The sequence below is a fragment of the Homo sapiens genome, chromosome 4, assembly GCF_000001405.40.
Source record: "Homo sapiens chromosome 4, GRCh38.p14 Primary Assembly".
Lineage (NCBI taxonomy): Eukaryota > Metazoa > Chordata > Mammalia > Primates > Hominidae > Homo > Homo sapiens.
Genome location: NC_000004.12, coordinates 26,339,981 through 26,361,755, shown reverse-complemented (window position 1 = coordinate 26,361,755; position 21,775 = coordinate 26,339,981). Strand labels below are relative to the sequence as shown.

At 40.4% G+C, this 21,775-nt stretch overlaps 1 protein-coding gene across 18 annotated transcripts in view, besides 2 other annotated features; it reads right to left on the bottom strand.

Moving 5' to 3' along the window:
• Nucleotides 1-21,775, bottom strand: part of RBPJ (recombination signal binding protein for immunoglobulin kappa J region) — a 329,683-nt gene that overhangs the window by 73,376 nt on the left and 234,532 nt on the right. Inside the window, exon 1 of one of the 18 annotated variants that reach the window (NM_001374403.1) lies at nucleotides 18,533-18,616. The exons of the other annotated variants lie outside the window; for them this stretch is intronic. The gene's annotated coding sequence lies outside the window, so the exon portion shown is untranslated. Of the gene's footprint in view, nucleotides 1-18,532; nucleotides 18,617-21,775 lie in introns of those variants that run through there. 18 annotated transcript variants of the gene reach the window in all.
• Nucleotides 8,630-9,129: an enhancer, noted in NCBI's record as "H3K4me1 hESC enhancer chr4:26354249-26354748 (GRCh37/hg19 assembly coordinates)". NCBI's record gives its function as "activates a minimal SCP1, AML or CMV promoter by ChIP-STARR-seq in naive H9 embryonic stem cells {active_cell/tissue: H9 hESC(naive)}" and the evidence as "EXISTENCE:reporter gene assay evidence [ECO:0000049][PMID:30033119]".
• Nucleotides 9,130-9,631: an enhancer, noted in NCBI's record as "H3K4me1 hESC enhancer chr4:26353747-26354248 (GRCh37/hg19 assembly coordinates)". NCBI's record gives its function as "activates a minimal SCP1, AML or CMV promoter by ChIP-STARR-seq in naive H9 embryonic stem cells {active_cell/tissue: H9 hESC(naive)}" and the evidence as "EXISTENCE:reporter gene assay evidence [ECO:0000049][PMID:30033119]".

Sequence of the window (21,775 nt, the reverse complement as noted above, 5' to 3'; positions counted from 1 at the left end):
AAGAATTCACACTGCTTTTACCACAAGTGTGGCATCATGTAGCTACAAGAAAGAACACTCAAGCTACACAAAGTAAAACTGATAACTGATCAATAAATATATTCATTTACTGTCATAAAGCAATTTAAATTACTTTAAGATGACTGATAAGGCAAATTTTTAATACACGCAAGCCATAAAAAGAGCTTCCTAGGAAAGACGTAGATGAAAACAGCTTTACACAAGCTGTTCCACTCTAGGCATGTGGAACAGCTTGTGTAAAGAATAAAGATGAAAGTTTCCCAGCTAGGGCTAAAAAGTAAGTGCTAAGGAGAAAATGAAACTATTTCCTGGTTGAAAGAGTAGATGTAACTGATGAAAATCTTTCAATCCACTGTCAGAAAAAATTATGTATTTTTAAGATTTAGATTTACTGTAGATTGTGGGGAATGCAGACTATAAAATGTAGGTCACTCTTCAGAAAGCTGATAATGGCGACAGAATTATATATAGTGAAAGAACTCTACCAGAGTAGGTGGGAAGAAACTAATGAAGAACAGAAACAAGAGACCTGATCCAGTGAAATCTCTGCCTGTAGCCACAACCGTCTTTTCAAACTGATGATTTTAGCCCATTAGTCCATCCCTCTGGCCCCTTCCCATTCCTCCTTAAAACAACCTAATGGCTCTGAATGTGACACACACACACACACACACACGCACACACACTCACTCCTGAAAGGATATCACATTGTTTCCTACACTCTGCTCCTCCAGACAAATGTATCCTTCACAGAACTACAAATCTTTATTTTATCTAGTTGCACTCTATTTTTATCTTCAGTAATGTGTATTAAAAACCCTATGAGGCCGGGAGCGGTGGCTCACGCCTATAATCCCAGCACTTTGGGAGGCCAAGGTGGGTGGATCACCTGAGGTCAGGAGTTTGAGACCAGCCTGGCCAACATGGTGAAACCCTATCTCTACTAAAAATACCAAAAGAAAAAAAAAATAAAAAAAACCCAAACATTAGCTGGTCATAGTGACGCGCACCTGTAGTCCCAGCTACTCAGGAGGCTGAGGCAGGACCTGGGAAGCAGAGGTTGCAGTGAGCTGAGATCACACAACTACACTCCAGCCTGGGTGACAAAGTGAGACTCTGTCTCAAAAAAAAAAAAAAAAGCACCTATGAAACTGTCTAGAAAACATTCCGCTTCCATGCTAGTTACTACAGTCTCCTTCCTTTATGCTGTGAGGTCCCAAGGGTATAACTTTTGTCTTTCATCTCTGTAAACCTATCATCACTTTACCACCAAAGCCCGCAACACAATAGGCACTAGAAACTACTAAATATGTGAAAATGTTACGACTGTACTTCGAATATATGATTGATAAGCTAAATATAGAAAGTTCATGATGGCAGGTATATCTGATATGCCATTAAACACAGTAGGTACACAAATATTTGTTGAATGAATGGAAGAAAATATTTAGGAATGGCTTTTCCAGGCAGGATAGGGAAAAACACACATTCACCGCTAAATGATATTAAGAATCTAAAATGATTTTTGGTATATCCAATTTTCCATTTTAAAATTAACTTATTTGGTGGATTATATTAATATTTTGAGAATTGTATTTACATCAAAATTCACATTTATAATTCAAAACTTTGTATATATTAATACACTAAAAATACACTGTGATGCCAGTATCAAGGAGAGCAAAGGCTCTGAAAGCAGAAAAATTAAATTAACATAAATAAGGCCCACTTTTTTGATGACTAAATTCTGATTATTTTGTTTTGGTTTTGACTACTGAATTTACAACACACAATATTTATGAAATTATGAGATCAAATAACTGCTAGCAAACTACTGCTAAAGCATAAACTTCAGGAAAGTAGTTAGAAACAGATGCCAATAACTAATGTTTTTCTAAACAGCCTCATATAATAATCTGAAACGACAACAATGAAGGTGTTGATCCGCGGGGTGCTCACGGGACGCCGAGGGTCAGCTCCAGCTCGCTTCGCGGCAACCGCGGAGCTCCTGGCACACCCACGCCACGCCCGCCCCGGCCCGCTCGGCCACCATCCCTCCTGTCGGCGGGGTGGGAGAGCACTCGGGAACCTCACGTCCCCCGGGGCTATGCCTGTGCCGACCCCGAGGAGCGCACCGCGCAAGCAGGGAAGGCCTCGAGGCTGCCGGCGCCGGCAGCAGGGGCGTCCCAGCCAGGGGCCTGCAGTTTGCCAAGGGAACCCCCACCCGAGCCCAGAACCGAGGAAGAGGGTCGGACATACTGGACACACAGCCGCTCCATAAAGTAAATACAACAAAATGTTAAAAAAAAAAAAAAAAAAAATGAAGGTGTTATAATGGTCATTGCAATACTGATTATTAGGAAAGGTTTGGGTATTTCTTTCCAACACAGGGGAATGGTTAAATTATGACACACCCATACAATGGAAACGTTCGTTAAATATTACTGAAATAACATGGTAATATGTTAATGACATATGATTACCTAACTACATACAGTATTTTCCTACATATTTTTGTATGTCTATTTATACATTTTAATCAGGACAGAAATTTTAAAATACATTTAATAAATATAAATATGTACGTTCCGTGAGATCAAGAAAAATTTTCAGATGTGTACATTCCTGTACCTCCAGCACTTATGACAGCACCTTGACAAAGGTGTTAAGAGTGGCAGCAAAGCTTAAGAGAAGATTGTCTGGATCTGATTCCTAGATCCTCTACTCACTAGCTATGAGACTTCAGGCAAGTTACTTAACTTCTAGGTGACTTACTTTCTCCTTTTGAAAAACTGGGATAAAAACAGTGGAAGGGGGAAAAGACTTAATACATGTAAGGCACTTAGAACAATATCTGGAACATAATGATGACACAGTGAACTGGGATAATGGGCAGCAGTGAACCCACTGCCTCAAACCTGAATAAATGAATGGACTTTTTTTTTTTTTTAAGAGACAAGATCTTGCTTTGTTACCCAGGCTGTAGTGCAGTGGCACAATTATGGCTCACTGCAGCCTCAACCTCCTGGGCTCAAGTAATCCTCATGCCTCAGCCTCCTGAGTAGCTGGAACTATAGGCATGCACCACGTACCCCACTAACTTTTTTTTTTTTTTTTTTTTTTTGCAGAGATGGGGTCTTGCTATGCTGCCAGGCTGGTCTCAAACCCCTGGCCTCAAGTGATCCTCCTACCTTGGCCTCCCAAACTGCTGGGCTTATAGGCATGAGGCACTGCACCTGGACTGAGTGGACTATTTTTAAAATACAAAAAGAAATGTTAGTAAAGTCACCTGTGTGGGAACTCAAAGACTAGAACATATATTACACCTTCACTGTTTTGGACACTTCAAAGTGCACGTAATTTTGTGCCTATTACACTTCCTTATGGTAATCCAATTACCATATATTAAGAATCTCAGGTCTTCTATTAACTTTATACTAAACCTTTGACCATTATGGTACTTACTACTAGTAGGATACATATTTTATGCTATTTTTCCAATGGTCATGATATATTTGCACAGTACAACGTATGGTCTTCTGTAATCATCCTTTTAACAACCAACACTATTTTGTAACAATGGATCTATATAAGAGTGCAGTGGTTTGTAGAGTTTTATCAAACTCAATTTTATTATATTCATTCTTTATTAACTAGGCAATTCACTCTCTGATCATTAAATACACACACACACACACACACACACACACACACGAATACCCCCTCAAAAACATACAAAAAACACCCGAGCATAAGTAACCCAAGTTACTTATGAGTGGATTTTAAATGTGGTATATGCATAGAATGGAATACTATTCTGCTTTAAAAAGAAACAAAATTCTGACAACGCTACATGGATGAACCTTGAAGACATTATGGTAAGTGAAGTAAGCCAGTCGCAAAAAGACAAACACTACATGATTCCACTTACATGAAGTGCCTAGAGTAGTCAAATTCATAGAGACAAAAAGAATGGTGGTTACCAGGGACCTGGGGGCAATGGGGAGTTATTATTTAATGGGTTAGGAGTTTCAGTTCAGGCAGATGAAAACAGCTGTGGAGATGGATGGTAGTGATAGTTGCATAGCACCGTGAATGTACTTACTACCACTAAACTGTACAATTTAAAATTGTTTAAATGGTAAATTTTATTTATGTATATTTTGCTACAATAAATAAACTGAACACACCTGATGAGATACACAAATAGTGGATAGTAACTTACTTTTTTCCTTATATTTTGACAAATTTTCTAAATATTTCCTTTGTTTTATAAATCGAACCTATTTCTATCTTCGTTAAGTGGCACTACTCATCCTCCCAGACAGCCACAACATTCAACCATTTTCCTTCCCATCCTAAGCCAAGTCTTACAAACTGATTTTAACTCTGTAACACTACTTGAGTTTGATGCCTTTCTTTTATTTCTAATGCCTCGGCCTTCATTAAGTTCTTCCTTACAGCACAGGATCACTGTAACAGTCCTATAGTCAATCACCTATCCTCAAAAGCCTAGCCTTCACAATTATCACTAGCTATTTTCTTGAAATAAAGCTCTAGTTTTAAAACCTTTACAAAGGGCTCCACTGTTTCTTCAAGTTTAAAGTTCTAAGCAAAACATTAAAAAATACTTTTTTGTCTGATCTAACCTACCCTTTTGGGCTCACCTTCACAAGACCCTTCTGCTTCCCATACTCTACACCAGATTCTTTACTCCCTTTTTCCTCACCATCCCCACCAGGCTCTGCTACCTCCATGCTTGTATGCACACTTCTCTATGTGGAATCCTCTTCCTTCCAACTTCGAATGATATCTATTCGATTCTCAGACACTGCTATATGATAAAAGAAACATAAGAACAACTTGGCAGTATCTATCAAAAGTATAACTGCACATATCTTTGCAACTAGCAATTTCACTTCTAAGTGTCTGGTCCTACAAAAATACTCAAACATACAGGACACGAAGATATTCACTGCAGTGTTGTTTCTAAAAGAGAAAAACATCTAGTTGGGCACCAAATGGGAACTGGCTAAATATATTGTTACAACTATATTATGGATATGGAATACTACACAAAATTATGAGGGGGGCAACCCTAAATATACACTGATAAGAAAAGAACTAAAGAAGAATTATAAATTTTAAAAGTAAAGATAAAGAAAACCCAAACTGTATTTATACACTTTTATGTATTTTTAAGTACACAAAGAATTTGTCTGGGAGAATATATTCAAATTTGTAACAGTGGTTATCTCTGGGGAAGGAAACGAAATTTGTGCAACATTTCAAATGGGTTACAAACAGACAGGAAGAAGCTAAACAGATTCACTCTCCTACTTTCTCACTCCCAGTCTATTTGGCCTGATCTAGCTCTGACTCTACTTAGCTACTGATACAAAACTTAAGCTGAATGGCAGTAGCTACACAGAGCCCAAGTGCATGTGCAGCCTGTCTTGGCAGGCTTACCTAGGCCACAAGCTCCCTAGCTAAAAGTACTCACAGCTGCCAGTGACACACTCTGCAGGTCCAGCTCTAGCAGAGGTGAGAAAATAGCCACATTCTTACTGGGACTCTACTCAGGCTTACCTTTCTATTGATGTTCTGTTTTCTTCCAGTTAAAGGAATGTTTACCAACATGGGCACTCGTGGTTTTTGAACAAATTCATCTCTAACAAGAACCACATCCTGAATTGGCAGGAGGGTCAGAGGACAGTCAGTACTCAGGTATTCCTTAACAAAATCTCTTGCCCCCAAATTTCCAGAATTCATCTTCCTCTAACATAGTTAAAAAGTTTAAAACTGAGAGGTGGAAGAAGAAATCCCTTCCTGAAGCTTTCACTGGAATCCCCAGTCTGAATTAACCATCCCCTCTTCTTGTGTACCTCAATGCTCCTTGGGAAATGCCTGTTACATGAGCTATGGTGTTCTTCCTTACAGTTTGTGTGAGTGTACCTGCAGTCCCCAGTGGGGCACAAACTATCAAGGGCCAGACTGTCTTCACTTACGTTTTATATAACTCAAGGTGTTCAAAGTTCTTATCTGTTAATGAGGCTTTTTTGTTGGCAGGAGAGGGGTTAGGGTTTTGATGTTTTAAGAGATGGGGTCTTGCTCTGTTGCCCAGGCTGGAGTGCAGTAGCACAGATCATAGCCCACTGCAGCCCTGAACTCCTGGGGCTCAAGGGATCCTCCTGTGTGGCTGGGACTACAGACATGCACCCCCACACCCATTTTTTTTTTTTTTTTTTTGGTAGAGATGAAGTCTTGCTATGTTGCCCAGGATGGTCTCAAATTCCTGGACACATGCAATCCTACCTTGGCCTTGTGAGATTACAGGTGTGAGCTACCACACTTAGCCTTATAATAGGTTTTTAAGAAATGTCTCCTGAGTAGAATTTAAAATAGTTCAGTGCATGATGTTTGACAAGTTCACAGATGGGATGTATTTAACTTCAGAATAAAAATGTTAGTACACAGCCTATGCAACAAAAAATAAAATATATATATAGTCGGGCCATATGGTACACACCTATAGTCCCAGCTCCTGGGGGATTAGGGGGAGGTGGGCAGTGGCTTAGGTAGGAAGACTGCTTGAGTCTAGGAGGTTGAGGCTGCTGTGAGCCATGATCTCACCACTGCCCTCTACCCTATACAAGAGAAAACAAGACCAAAAAAATACGGCAGGAGACAATATTAAATCAAATAAGAAAAACAAGTTTTAAATCAAGTTTTATTTCAAATTATTTCATTAAATGAGAGCTTTGAGCTGGAAGAGAGAATATAAGCCTGAAAAACCACTACATGTCACAGGCAAAGTAGAAAAGTATAACAATTTTTAATGGTATTTAAATAGAAAACAGTCCATCTCTATTTGTACCCAAAGGAAAAAAGCCTGTATCCCCTTTACATCACAATAATCTAAATACAATTACAGTTTCTGTATATTGTAATTATTTGATCAGTTTCCCACGTAAAATCTCTTTGCCGGCCAGGCATGTGGCTCATGCCTGTAACTGCAGCACTTTGGGAGGCCAAGGCGACCCGATCATTTGAGGTCAGGAGTTCATGACCAGCCTGGCCAACACGGAGAAACCCGGTCTCTACTAAAAATACAAAAATTAGCTGGATGTGGTGGCAGCAGCCTGTAGTCCCAGCTACCTGGGAGGCTGAAGCAGGAGAATCGGTTGAACCCAGGAAGTGGAGGTGGCAATAAGCTGAGATCATACCACTGCACTGCCTGGGTAACAGAGCAAGACTCCGTATCAAAAAAAAAAAAAAAAAAACAGAAATCTTTTTGCCAATAAATAAAAATACAAATTGCTAATTTACTACATTTTTTATGTTTTCCTTGTGATCTATATTTGATGGTGAAACAAAAATCCTGCCTTCTAGTAAATATTTTGTATTTAAATAAAATCAGGATATAAAAGTAACATGAAAACATTAAGCTTGCTGAAAACAGTCCCCGGTGGCTGTATAAATTATCTCATGATCTAAAGAATATGGCCGGGCGGGGTGGCTCAGGCCTGTAATCCCAGCACTTTGGGAGGCCGAGGCGGGTGGATCACGAGGTCAGGAGATCGAGACCATCCTGGCTAACATGGTGAAACCCCGTCTCTACTAAAAAATACAAAAAATTAGCCGGGCATGGTGGCACGCGCCTGTAGTCCCAGCTACTCGGGAGGCTGAGGCAGGAGAATGGCGTGAACCCGGGAGGCAGAGCTTGCAGTGAGCCGAGATCACGCCACTGCACTCCAGCCTGGGCGGACAGAGCGAGACTCTGTCTCCAAAAACAAACAAACAAAAAAACAAAAGAATACTGTGGCAGGGCACAGTAGCTTACAACTGTAATCCCAGCACTTTGGGAGGCCAAGGCAGGCAGATCACCTGAGGTCCAGGAATTCAAGACCAGCCTGACCAACATGGTGAAACCCCATCTCTACTAAAAATACAAAAAAATTAGCCAGGCGTGGTGGTGGGTGCCTGTAATCCCAGCTACTCGGGAGGCTGAGGCAGGAGAATTGCTTGAACCCAGGAGGCAGAGGTTGCAGTGAGCCAAGATCGCACCACTACACACCAGCTTGGGTGTGACAGAGCAAGACTCTGTCAAAAAAAAAAAAAAAAAGAATACTGTGAATTATAAGAACAATTGCAAATAAGATTTATTAGTATATTTGAAGTATAAAAAGGTTGTCTAATATTTTAAATGTATTATCTCACTTATTTACTACCAAACCTATGAGATAGGCATAATAATTACATTTTATAGACACACAAACTGAGGTTAAAGTTGTGAAGTAACTTGCAGGAAGAGACATTTAAGTGGCAGAACCAGAATTCAAAGCCTGGTCTCTCTGATCCCAAAAACAAATACCTGCCTCTGCATGCATTTAACAAATCAAATCAAAACAAAAAGTTTGTTCTGATACAATGTATGTTTCCTTGCTGTGATCTGCTGCATAGGCAGCATAGGGGAATGAGGTTGACATAAATGAAAATCATGTTACTTCATAGACAATTTTTCCTAGCATATTAATGTTTTGAAGCAACTGGAAATAAACCTTTCATGATTAAAGAAAAAAACCTTAGCAACAGGTGAATATTTTAAGAAAAAAGGCTGAAAATATACAAGTGCCTTTCTTTGTTGCAAGTAGTAGCTGATGTAGTAGCTTCAGAAATTGCTACACTTTCCACCGGGTTTTGCTATACTTTCCTTTCCACTGGATTTTTTAGGAATTGTTACACTTTCCACTATTTAACAAAGCTACCGGTACATAAGAAGCTGGAAAACAAAAACAAAGCTTACTAAAACAATGGATTAATGATGAAGGCTACATGCTGGATTAGATTTTAATTTTAATGAAAATGGTCTCTAAGAAGCAATGTCCTCCCAGAACTTACATGGCAGTATAAGAGACTTCTGCAGGCATTAGACAAAACAAGCCCTATGAACCTTCAGTACCCATGGTCCTACCAGAACGCCACGGATAGATTTTGTTTGATTTTGTTTGAGGTTTTTGTTGTTGTTGTTTGAGACAGAGTTTCACTCTGTGGCCCAGGCCGAAGTGCAATGGTGCGATCTGGGCTCACTGCAACCTCCGCCTCCCAGGTTCAAGTGATTCTCCTTCCTAGGTCTCAAGCTCCTGACCTCAGGTGATGCACCCACCTCGGCCTCCCAAAGTGCTGGGAGTACAGGTGTGAGCCACCACGCCCAGCCTTGATTGAATTTTTAATGATGTGAGTGCTATGGTTTGAATGTTTGTGTCCCCCTACAAGAGATATATTGAAATCCTGACCCCTAACGTCACAATATCAGGAGGGAAGCCCTTTGGGAGGTGATTAGGTCATAAAGGCACAGCTCTCATGAATGGGATTAGTGTCCTTATAAAAGAGGCTTGAGAGAGATCCTTCACCCCCTATTCCACCATGTGTAGATACAGCTAGAAGACACCATCTATGAACCACAGCAGGGACCTTCACCAGACACTGAATCTTCTGGCACCTTAGTCTTGGACTGTGAGAAATAAATTCTATTGTTCATAAGCTACCTAGTTTACGGTATTCTGTTACAGTAGCCCAAAAAGACAAAGACAGTAAGGTAAACTCCCACTATATAGAGAAAATAATGCTAAAACTGCTACCATTAGGACAAGGCTGCAGGAGTATACATTAATGCTACTCTGAATTGAAAACAATTTAAATACACAAAGATCAATGTCAGTTCACTGTGATCCCAAAGTAGGTATGAAAGGGAACTCCCCACCATAACCACACACCTCCCCCCGACCCAAAGCAGCTCTTAGCACACACTGTTTCTTAATAGAACATCTAGAAGTTAATAGCCATGGAAAGTGACCCTACTGCATAACCTGTATGAAACTAGCAGTGGGGCCTATTTGGCATGCACATATTTCCAAGTACATAAACGTACTATCAAAACAGAAAGCTCATACAGGAAGATATACATAGTTGTAGAGAAAACAAGTAATATATAGCAGCTATTTTGACAGATACCATTGTCCTGTATTGTTCATAACATAAAAACCATTCTCAAGGCCAGGGACAGTGGCTCAGGCCTGTAATCCCAACACTCTGGGAGGCCAAGGCAGGCGGAAGACTTGAGTTCCTGAGTTCAAGACCAGCCTGGGCAACATGGTGAGACCCTCTCTCTACAAAAAATACAAAAATTAGCCAGGTGTGGTGGCACACACCTGTAGTCCCATCTACTTGGGAAGCTGAGGTGGGAGGATTGCCTGAGCCTGCAAGGCAGAGGTTGCCGTGAGCTGAGCCTGGGCGACAGGGCAAGACCCAGTCACCCACCCCCCACCAAAAAATAAACAAAGCATTCTCAGAAAAATTCTCTCAAGTGATGCCTGGAGACCTAAGTATGTGATCAAAAACTTCTGTGTCTTCTTCCTGTTAGTATGAATATTTGCCTTCAGGACTCCCTAATTCCCTTTTACTATCTCAATATTCTAGGTATCTATGTTCCTCAAGTGTCAGAGATCACGCACTAATGTACACAATGTTTCCACATATACTTTTGAAATCCACAGGATGGGCCTGGGAGTTAGCATAGTAATTAAGCATATTAAGGTAGAGCAAAATAGTCTCAAGTAATTTTTTCAGGTAACCCAAACTTAATGTATATAATATATAATATATAACGTATATAATATAGTGTTCCATTATTGGAATGCTAAGCTTGTGAGTTATTTATATCCAACTGCTCAAGGCTATCACACAAAAAAAATTTTGCAACCTATGGCATAAATGGGTTAAAATCATGTTTCCTACCAAGAATTGGCTAACCTGAGATTTGTTTTAACCTGTCACCATGCAAAATCCAGAAGCCATAAAAGCAAATCATTCATTTATATGTAGCCTCATCTCACAACCTCATACCTAAAACTTGTTTCCCATATTAAATGATGGCAACCCTGTAATTACCATTGCTCAGGCCAAAAACCAGGGAATCATCTTTGAATTCTGTATTTACTTCACATGCCACATCTAATCCAGGCATACTCTGCCTACAGGTCTTTACATTTGCTGTTTCTTCTTGCTAGAATGTTATCTCCCTTATATGCCCTCCATCCTCACCTCTTAATGTCCTTTAATGAACTGTTCACCTATCATATGTCTATAGGTTGTAGGTTTTTTGTCCCGAGCAAGGTTTAAAGTCATAATTTTCAATTCAGTACTTTGGAAAACTTCACTAAATTTAACTACGTATGTTCAGATGTCTCTTTTAAGGTTTATTTTATATAATAGTGTAAGATAAGTAGCCAAATACCATGAGGAAAGACTTGTCCTTCCTGTCATGGCAGAAAGACTGAAATATGACTTGGGGAATCATATGGACATAAACCAAAATGTATTTTTCTGTGTGCAAATTACTGTATAAATAAGCACACAAAAAGCTGTTGAGGATCATAGGGCAGAGTGGGGAAACTAGTATTAGAAAAATTATCTAGTGTGAGAAATTTGCCATAAAGTTGGTAGTACAAACCATTTTTCTAATATACCTTAGCTTATAGTCTTTGCTGGCTTCTTAATGAAATATGAAAATTTGTAAGAAAGTATCTACAGGAAAACATTCTCAACTACAAATTCATTTCACAGTTAAAATTTATTATGTCTTACACGACAGGCACTCTTGTAGGTTCAGAGCTAGAGCACTGAACAAAAAGACAAGGTCTCTGTCTTCATGGAGGGAGCTTCTTGACTTCTTTAATAAAAGCATTTTATGAAATAACAGTGAGAGCATTATCTGCTATGCAAGTAGCTGCTTTAACCGAAATAAAACAAATTTCTGTAGAAAGTGTACTGAAATTCCATCACACAAGACATTCATTCATTCCATCTTACATTAGCAACAGAAGAAATTAAAGGCAGAATGGCACAAAGTACTGCCGATGTAATAGACAGTTACTTTTATAAAACAATACATCATCATGAGACAGAGAGTAACCATGAAAATCTCTTATACCACATGGAGGTCTGCTGTTTATCTCCTGGTAAAGCACTTAGAAGTAAAAGTGTTGTGAAACTTGATGAGTTACTCATTTTCTCTATGCAAAAAGGTCCCCAAATCAATTACTTTTCCTGTGAAGACAAATAGCTGCCTGTAGTATGCTACCTAGTAGACATGTCTGTAAATCAAAACACTTAAGCATGGCATTTAAACAATAGCTTTTCAGCTAAGAAAATCACTTACTTATATCAAAATAAAACGAACTTGGACCCAGTCCTTTGAATGACTCTATCGCAAAGTATTAAAGAAGTGATATTCAAATAAAAAAGATAAAAAGAAGTGATATTTAAACACATTGTTCTCACTAAAAGCTACATGTGAAGATTGGCCAGGCACTGTGGCTCATGCTTGTAATCCCAGCACTTTGGGACGCTGAGGTGGGAGGATCACTTGCGTCCAGAAGTTTGAGGCCAGCCTGGGCAACATAGCGAGACACCATCTCTACAAAAAAATTTTAAAAACATTATCCAGGCATGGTGGCTCATACCTGTAGTGCCAGCTACTCAGGAGGGTGAGGTGGGAGGATGGCTTGAGCCCCCGGGGTCAAGGCTGCAGTGAGCTGTGAGAACGCCACTGCACTCTAGAGCCTGGCAAGTGCGTGCGCGCGCGCACACACACACACACAAACTTGTGATGATAAAATGAGTTCCTGCCATTAACTTTTAAAAACATCTTTAAAACTTTGTTTACAGACCAGGCATGGTAGCTCACGCCTGTAACCTCAACACTTTGGGAGGCCTAGGTAGGAGGATAACTAGAAGCCAGGAGTTTAAGACCAGCCTGAGCAACATAGTGAGACTCTTGTGTCTACAAAAAATTTTAAAAATTCGTGGGCCATGATGTCACATGCCTGTAACTCCTATCTACTTGGGAGACTAGGGCAGAAGGATGGCTTGAACTCAGGAGTTCAAGGCTGCAGTGAGCTATGATCACGCCACTGCGCTCCACTCTGAGTGATAAAGTGAGACCTTGTCTCAAAAACAAAAAAAAACAAAAAACAAAAATCAAAAAACAACCAAACTTTTTGTTGTTGAGGTGAAAAGCTTTGCTTACCTCAACTTTATCAAAATACTTTTTAACATTTCAAATTTATGTACATATTTCAGTATATTGGTACAGTACAATATGATAATCACATATATTGGGGTACATGCTAACTTTCTACTTACTGATAAGAGCAAGCAATCAAAAGTCTAGAGGCAATCAGTTAAAAGAAAAGAAAAAGAAATTGATGTATGTGCCACATAGCTCTTACAGTATATGGATAAAGATCCCAAAGACAAGTAATATCTTTGGCTTCACAGTAATAAACCAAGTCCATCACCTCATTTAGTATTAGAAGGACTGAGCAAAAACATGAAACAATCAAAACACAAACGTCACCCCTCCAGGAGACAAACACAGAATATTTTTTCTGATTAAAATGAAACAGCAGGCCGGGCACGATGATGGCTCAGGCCTGTAATCCCAACACTTTGGGAGACTGAGGCAGGTCAATCATCTGAGGTCAGGAGTTCGAGACCAGCCTGGCCACCGTGGTGAAACCCCATCTCTACTAAAAATACAAAATTAGCCAGGCGTGGTAGCGTGTGCCTGTAATCCCAGCTACTCAGGAGGCTGAGGCAGGAGAATCACTTGAACCTGGGAGGCAGGGGTTGCAGTGAGCTGAGATGGTGCCATTGTACTCCAGCCTGGGCAACAAGAGCCAAACTCCATCTTAAAAAAAAAAAAGAAAAAGAAAAAGAAAAAAAAAAAGGAAACAGCAGATGTAGAAAGACTCTAAAAGAGAATCAAATTGGTAAATGTCCTCTTGGTCACAGAATTACTGAATGTGTGCCACTTTCAGTTACCCCCTTTTAATTCAGGCTTTTCATTAACACATGAGAAGCAGCACAAGGTTACAGAAAAGGCAGCAACAGGAGTTAACAATAAAAGTTTCATCTCTTCCCTCTTCGTGTGTTCCTTCCAATAAGCATCTAAACCTATCGAGCCTATTCCATCTTCAAAGCTCTACCTTAACACCTATGGCTCCACTCCCACTCTCCATGTTCTTAAAAGAACTGCTCTTAAAAGAGTTGCATACTCCCTCACCTTCAACTCCTGAACCACAGTAAGATCTCACCAGTTCTTGCCAGGGTCTCTGAAATCCTAAATCCAATGAACATTTAAACTTACCTCACCCTCACTGCAGCATTTGACACCACTGACCAGTGTACCTCCTTCTAGAACTCTGTCTTCATTGTTGTAATGCTCTACTATTGAGGCTTTTATTCTACCTTGTTTGCTAACAGTTTTCTTCTAATTGCTTCTATACCTCTACCCATTCCTTAAATTTTGGTGCTTGCCAAGTCTGTCTCTGCCTAACTCTATCCAAGAGATATTGCCCACTCCCAAGGTTCTAATTAGCATCTACCAGTCTTCAAGTACACATTTCCGACCCTGACCTCTCTCTCTTGAGCTCCAGGATCGCCACGTATAACTGGCCACTGGATATCTTCATCTAGCTTTCTCACAAGAACCTCAAAGTCGACATGTTCAGAAGCGAAATCTTCTCCCCAAACTAACTCAACTCTTCTACTGTGCCTTTTACCTCAAGGCCATCTCATTTCAACAAATGGTGCCACTGTTCCCCTGGCAACACGTGTAAAGCATCAGAATTTTTTTCCTTCTTGACAAATTTTTATTTTTATTTTTTATTTTTTTTTTGAGATGGAGTCTCGCTCTGTCACCCAGACTGGAGTGCAGTGGCGCAATCTCGGCTCACTGCAACCTCCGCCTCCCGGGTTCAAGTGATTCTCCTGCTTCAGCCTCCCAAGTAGCTGGGACTACAGATGCATGCCACCATGCCCAGCTAATTTTTGTATTTTTAGTAGAGACAGGGTTTCACCACATTGGCCAGGCTGGTCTCAAACTCCTGACCTCAGGTGATCCACCCGCCTCGGCCTTCCAAAGTGCTGGGATTACAGGAGTCCTGAGCCGCAGCGCCCGGCCAATACAGCCTGTTTTTAGAATCCTAATGATAAAGGAGTTAAGAAGATATTACTTAGGCAGATAGTGAGGGTATGGAAGTCCTCAGTAAGGTTTTCCTTTTAATGAAAAGCAGCCCCAAATCATTTTCCTTTCTCACAAAGAGCAGACTGTAAAATCGAGCTACAGACATAGATGTCAGCAGTTGTGCCAATCATGTTCAAGATAGCGGCTCCATCTTCCCTTCTCTTTGTCAGCCATGTGTACAGTAAGGAGTAGATAAGATGGCACCTGCCAAGGGGAAAGTTTACTTGCATAATAAGATTAGGCAGCCAGCCTTCCCCGCTGTAAACGTCATACCTGACCCAACCAATCTGTGAGCCCTATGTAAATCAGATATCCCCTCCTCCAATCTGACTATAAAATCCAGTACATCCGCAGTCGCCAGTCTTTTCCTCTCTGGAAGTCCCCTCTCTCTCACTAGAGAGAAAGCTGTTTTCCTTTCTCTTTCTCTTTCTTTTGCCTATTAAACCTCCACTCCTGAACTCCTCGTGCATGTCCATGTCCTAAATTTTTTGGGAGTGAGATGATGAACCCCCAAGTATTTACTCCAACAATGTGGCCACTTCACTAATACTTGACTATTTTTGAAATTTCACTAGCATAAATATACATGTAGATTCCCAATTTGTGTTTGTGTGTGTGTGTGTGTTTTAATTTCCAATGGGAGAAGAAAAACAGACATTTTAAAAAGAGAAAGATTAGTAACAAGTGAAATCTCCAAAAAAGCTTCATTATAGAGCTTAGAAAAGATGTGATTTTGTCATTTTAAGCCCCAGCATCACTGTATTCTCTGAAAATCTTCCCCATACATAATAGAATCCTATCCTTAATTCTAACAAAAACCTACCAATGCCTCAAAGTACGGGATGGGGTAGTCATCTGACTAAGCAGAAATGAAAATAGCACGTAGATGACAGAGTTAATGAGAGTTAAAAAGCAGAAGTAGCAGCTTGGGAATCCCTGAGAGTACAACTGAGGCAGAAAGGGGACTTGTGATAAGAAAAGTAAAGTACTAGCTACCAGGCGATTCCTCTCATTGGACAGACTACTCTCCCCAGGGATGTAGGAACTATATAAACTTACAATTTTGGATGCTCTCAAGTTCACTAAGTCATATTAATATTTACATCATATTCTGTTACCAGGTGTGATCTTTCAAAAGTATACTGAGTTGGTGTGATTAGGAAATCATCCAACAGAAACACAAACCTCAGTAGGCGCTTTTGGGGACCAATACGAGGAAAGCCATCTGTTTGCTGGAAATAATATTTCTACTTCCCTAGTGACTACAGCTATCTATGACAACTGGGAAATCCCAAGAGAGGAAAATAAATTTTAACTGCCTCAACACTTTAATTATTCATATAAGCTGTCCAAGAAATTAAAGTTAAATGTTACACAAAGAGATCTCTAGCCCCCTAATATTTTTTGGCTAATTATTCCACTGGTAGTCTACATCTGCTCTGCTATAATTTGGTTATGAATCAGAAGTAACTCACTGGAAAACCTTTATATCTCTTATAAAGTGACTATGAATAATAACTACGATTCACAAAAATGGTTATTTTTAATGTGCACAAAAATCCTCATGAAAACATGTCCCACACAAAAGAACAGCTGTTACTGTCAAAGTTTAAGCTCTTTTGTAGGAAGAACGAGACTAAATTTAACAAAATTTTTTAAATGTTTAAAAATAAAGCAGCAGCTCATTTTAAGCAGCACATTCAACCTGTATTTTTTTAAAATCTTCAATATGAACATCTTATGATCAGGAAACATGTTAAGCATTGCCTTTAAGAAGAATGTGAATCTATTATGATGAGATTCATACATATAAACAGTTCAGAGATTTGCAAATATACACTCTAACACCAGAAATACTGACCATAACCCCACATATACAGTGGGCTTTGAGGTGGGGTGGGGAGCAGGATTCCTCATTTGTTTCCATTGTTGCTATTCCACCCTTCCTTTTTTCTCTTCTGCTTTAAAAGTCATTTCTAGGATTATTTTGAGAAATTTATCTTCTAGGTATATTTTGATTAAAAAATTACCACATCTCCCTTATTATTTGTAGGTCAGCTCCAGGTGATGTCTTTCTGAGTAAAACTACTTTTAATAATTATAGTTAGCAGCCGGGCGCGGTGGCTCACGCCTGTAATCCCAGCACTTTGGGAGGCTGAGGCGGGGGGATCACGAGGTCAGGAGATCCAGACCATCCTGGCCAACATGGTGAAACCCCGTCTCTACTAAAAATACAAAAAAATTAGCCGGGCGTGATGGCAGGCGCCTGTAGTCCCAGCTACTCCGGAGGCTGACGCAGGAGAATGGCGTGAACCCGGGAGGCAGAGCTTGCAGTGAGCCGAAATCACGCCACTGCACTCCAGCCTGGGTGACAGAGCCAGACTCTGTCTCAAAAAAATAAAAAATAAAAAATAATTATAGTTAGCTATATGTCTCAATAACATATTAAAACCATATTCCTAGCTAGGTGTGGTGGTTCACACCTGTAATCCCAGCACTTTGGGAGCTGAGGTTGGCGGATCACTTGATGCCAGGAGTTCAAGATCAGCCTGGCCAACATGGCAAAATGCCATCTCTACTAAAAAGAAGTACAGGCTGGGGGCAGTGGCTCAGGCCTGTAATCCCAGCACTTTGGGAGGCCAAGGCAGGTGGATCACTTGAGGCCAGGAATTCAAGACCAGCCTGGCCAACATGGTGAAACCCTCTCCCTACTAAAAATACAAAAATTAGCCGAGTGTGGTGGCGGGCGCCTGTAATCCCACCTAGCTGGGAGGCTGAGGCAGCAGAATCACTTGAGCCCAGGAGGTGGAGGTTGCAGTGAGCCGAGACCACACTATTGCACTCCAGTCTGGGCAAGAAGAGCAAACCTCCGTCACAAAAAAAAAAAAAAAAAAAAAAAAAAAAGAAGAAAGAAAGAAGTACAAAAAAATTAGCCAGGCATGGTGACACACACCTGTAATCCCAGGTACTCAGGAGGCTGAGGCACAAGAATCGTTTGAACCCAGGAGGTGGCAGTTGCAGTGAGCTGAGATCACACCACTGCACTCCAGCCTAGGCAACAGCGCGAGATTCTATCTCAAAAAAAAAACAATAAACAAACAAACAACCTGTATTTTTCTGAAATAAAAGTGGGTACATACACTATGCCTTAAACTATTCATATGTATAAGCTGGAAATATGTAGCTTCAAATAACCCAATATTTATATCTTTAGGCAGTAACTAGAGGTAAAGCATCATCTATAAATGCTATTACACACAGTAGCTACTGTGAGCAAAAATATTTGATGACAGAAACCACGTCTATAACATATCTTACAATTTATCTGCCCACATATCCAAATAATATGTTTAGAGATTCATTACAACAGTCAAGCAAAAATATTCCAAATTCCTTAAAGTCATAAGAAGTAAAGATTACCAGAACAGAAACTCTCAGTTTGTGCCGTCCTAACTCGCCCTGCTGAAAAAACAGTCACCCTTAGGGATTCACAATAACAAACACAGAATTCATTGCAAGTGTGGCTACAATTTACAAGCAGCCTTTCATTGCTCCATAAAGGCTCATCATTGTAGAAACTCATCAGTTTTTAAGCCACATCCACAGCTGCTGTCTTAGAATAACAACAAAATTTGACAGCAGAGACTTTAAAATGACATTTATACAACAGTTTTACATAAAACAAAAGTACTCCAGTATAATAGAAAGAATGGATGACATGTAGAATACCAAAAAACATGAGAATCTTGAGTCATTGCTAATAGCAATACCTGTCATTTATATAATGCTAGAACCATTTTCCTAAGCTCCCTAGCATGTCAGAGATACCATTACACTGAAGAAAAGTGAAGCAGAGATACTACCCAAATTAATTAGTGGTGAACAGAATGTGTTTCATGACTAGCAACCTGTGTTTTTTGCACAAACCCTTCTTCCAAAATTGTATAGTGAAACAGGGAGACAAAAAAAATTCCACATAAACCTATTCCCTGTTCAACTTTACTCTCCTGCCTCAGATCTATAATCTGCCTGGACTGAGAGGCTTGTCTGGTTAGTGAGCACACTCAATCATGTGTTGTCAGATGACTAAGTTAACCACGCATGGGAGAAAGGAATGAGGAGGGGAAATGCTAGTAGGATCACCACATACTAAATTACACTATCGCTAGCAGATGTTCATACTACAAAGCAGCAATGGAACTGAAATCTGGAGATACAGGTTTGAATTCCATTTCTCCCACCAACTAGCAGGTAAACTTGGTTAAGTTTCTGTAAAACAAGATAATACTACCTCCCTCACCAAACGATGGCAAGGTCTAATGCAACTAGAGACCTCCTGGCTACTAAACACCACATTCCCTTTTTTTTTTTTTTTTTTGATAACCCAGGTGTTCAGCATTTGTACTAATGTATATACTCATCTTTTCTGTCTTCCCTCCTTTTGATACAGAGCAGTGGTTCTCAAAATGAGGTTTCTGGACCAGCAGCAATAGAATCATCCGGGAACTTGCTAGAAACGCAAATTCTTGGAGTTCCACTGCAGACCTTTTGTGTCAGAAACTCTGGAGATGGGGTCCAACCATCTGTGCTTCAGCAAGCCCTCCAGGTGACTCTGATGCCTGCTGAATTTTGCAAGCCACTGTGAGAACTCTGCTTTGGGCAGCCTAGTTTTGCACTATGTCCCATCCCTTCTTGGCTATTCTAGGATGTTGGACTAGCCAGCTACACTTTCTTCTCTCTTGTCTCAATTTTTACCTTTCTACTGAAACATTATTGACAACATACAAACGTGCTGGTATTTCTCCTTTGGACCCCACAATCCCTTCTAGTTCCCTGTTTCTTTGCATCCTTTTACAACAGACCTCTGAAGGGTTCTTTCTGTCTCCAATTTCTCTCCCACTCCATTTAGGTTTTTGTCTCCGTCACTTCAACAAAACTTAACAGTTCCCTCCACGCAGCTAAATGTAGTGGTCAGTTTTGTTTGGTTTTGTTTTCGTTTGGTTTTTTTTTGTTTTGTTTTGTTTTGTTTTGAGATGGAGTCTCACTCTGTCACCCAGGGTGGAGTGCAGTGGTGCAATCTCGGCTCACTGCAACCTCCACCTCCAGGTAACAAGTGATTCTTCTGTCTCAGCCTCTCGTGTAGCTCAGATTACAGGAGCATAGCACCATGCCCAGCTAATTTTTGTATTTTTAGTAGAGACAGGGTTTCACTATGTTGACAGGCTGGTCTCGAACTCCTGACCTCAAGTGATCTGCCTGCCTCAGCCTCCCAAAGTGCTGGGAGTACAGGCATGAGCCACCGCAGCCAGCCAGTGGTCAGCTGTCTTTTACCACATGTTATCTGACTGGATCACTCCCTTCTTGTTGAGCCATCTTCTTTATTTGACTTCTAGGATACTACACTCCTGTTTTCCTTCCTACCCCACTGGCACCTCTTTCTCAGTCTCCTTTGTAGTGTTTTCTCATTTCACCACATTTAAACTTTGGAGTGTCCAGAATGTAGCCCCTGGGTTTTAGCATTACGTTGCCACCAACACAGATCTTGATGATTATGGCTTTAACTACTATTAATATGTTGATGACTCCCAAATTTTTATTCCCAGCCTTGACCTCTTTTCTAAACTCCAAACTTTATATCCAGCTGTCTCAAAAGACATTTCCTCTTGGGCGTCTAAAAAGCATTTCAAACTAGCACATCTAAAATGATTTTTTTCCTTTATGACACTTATTTCAAGGCTTTCACATGCTACCTTTCTTTCTTTTTTTTTTTTCTTTTGTTTTTTTTTGAGACGGAGTCTCACTCTGTTGCCAGGCTGGAGTGCAGTGGCGTGATCTCAGCTCACTGCAACCTCCGCCTCCCGGGTTCAAGCGATTCTCCTGCCTCAGCCTCCCAAGCAGCTGGGATTACAGGTGCCCGCCACCACGCCCAGCTAATTTATTATATTTTTAGTAGAGACGGGGTTTCACCATGTTGGCCAAGATGGTCTCAGTCCTCTGACCTCATTATCCACCCACCTCGGCCTCCCAAAGTGCTGGGATTACAGGCATGAGCTACCCCGCCCGGCCCCAATATGCTGCATTTCTTACTATCAGCATCATCTCTACCTTGAATTGTTGCAGAATCCTCTTAACTTTTCTTTAGCTCTGCTCTTGTTCTTAGTAAAGTTGCTTGAGAGATCCTTCTCAAGATCGTGCAGTAGCTACTCATCTCAAAATAAAAACTAAGTTCCTCTTTGTCTAAAACCTTGCACATTTTGGACCACCGTTTTATCCTTGACTTCAGCTCTTACTGTTCTTCCTCTTACTACTCTGCTCCAACCTGGCAGGTGTTATTCCTTTTGTGTGGAATGCTGTTCTCCCACATACCCACAGGAATCTCTTCCTCCCTCCACGTCTTTCTCAGATATCACCTCTGTGAGGCCTTCCTTGACCATCTTGCCTGCTTTTTATTCCACCTTTTATACCCTTTCCCTGTTTTATTTTTCTCAGTTGCATGCATCACCTTCTAACATAATGTTAATTACTTTTAAAATTTTGTCTTTACTACTAGCATATAGTACTGGTAAGTAGTATGTACTCAATAGGTATTTGCTGAATGAATGAATGAAATGTTCTTTTTTTTTTTTAGATGGAGTCTTGCTCTGTCACCCAGGCTGGAGCGCA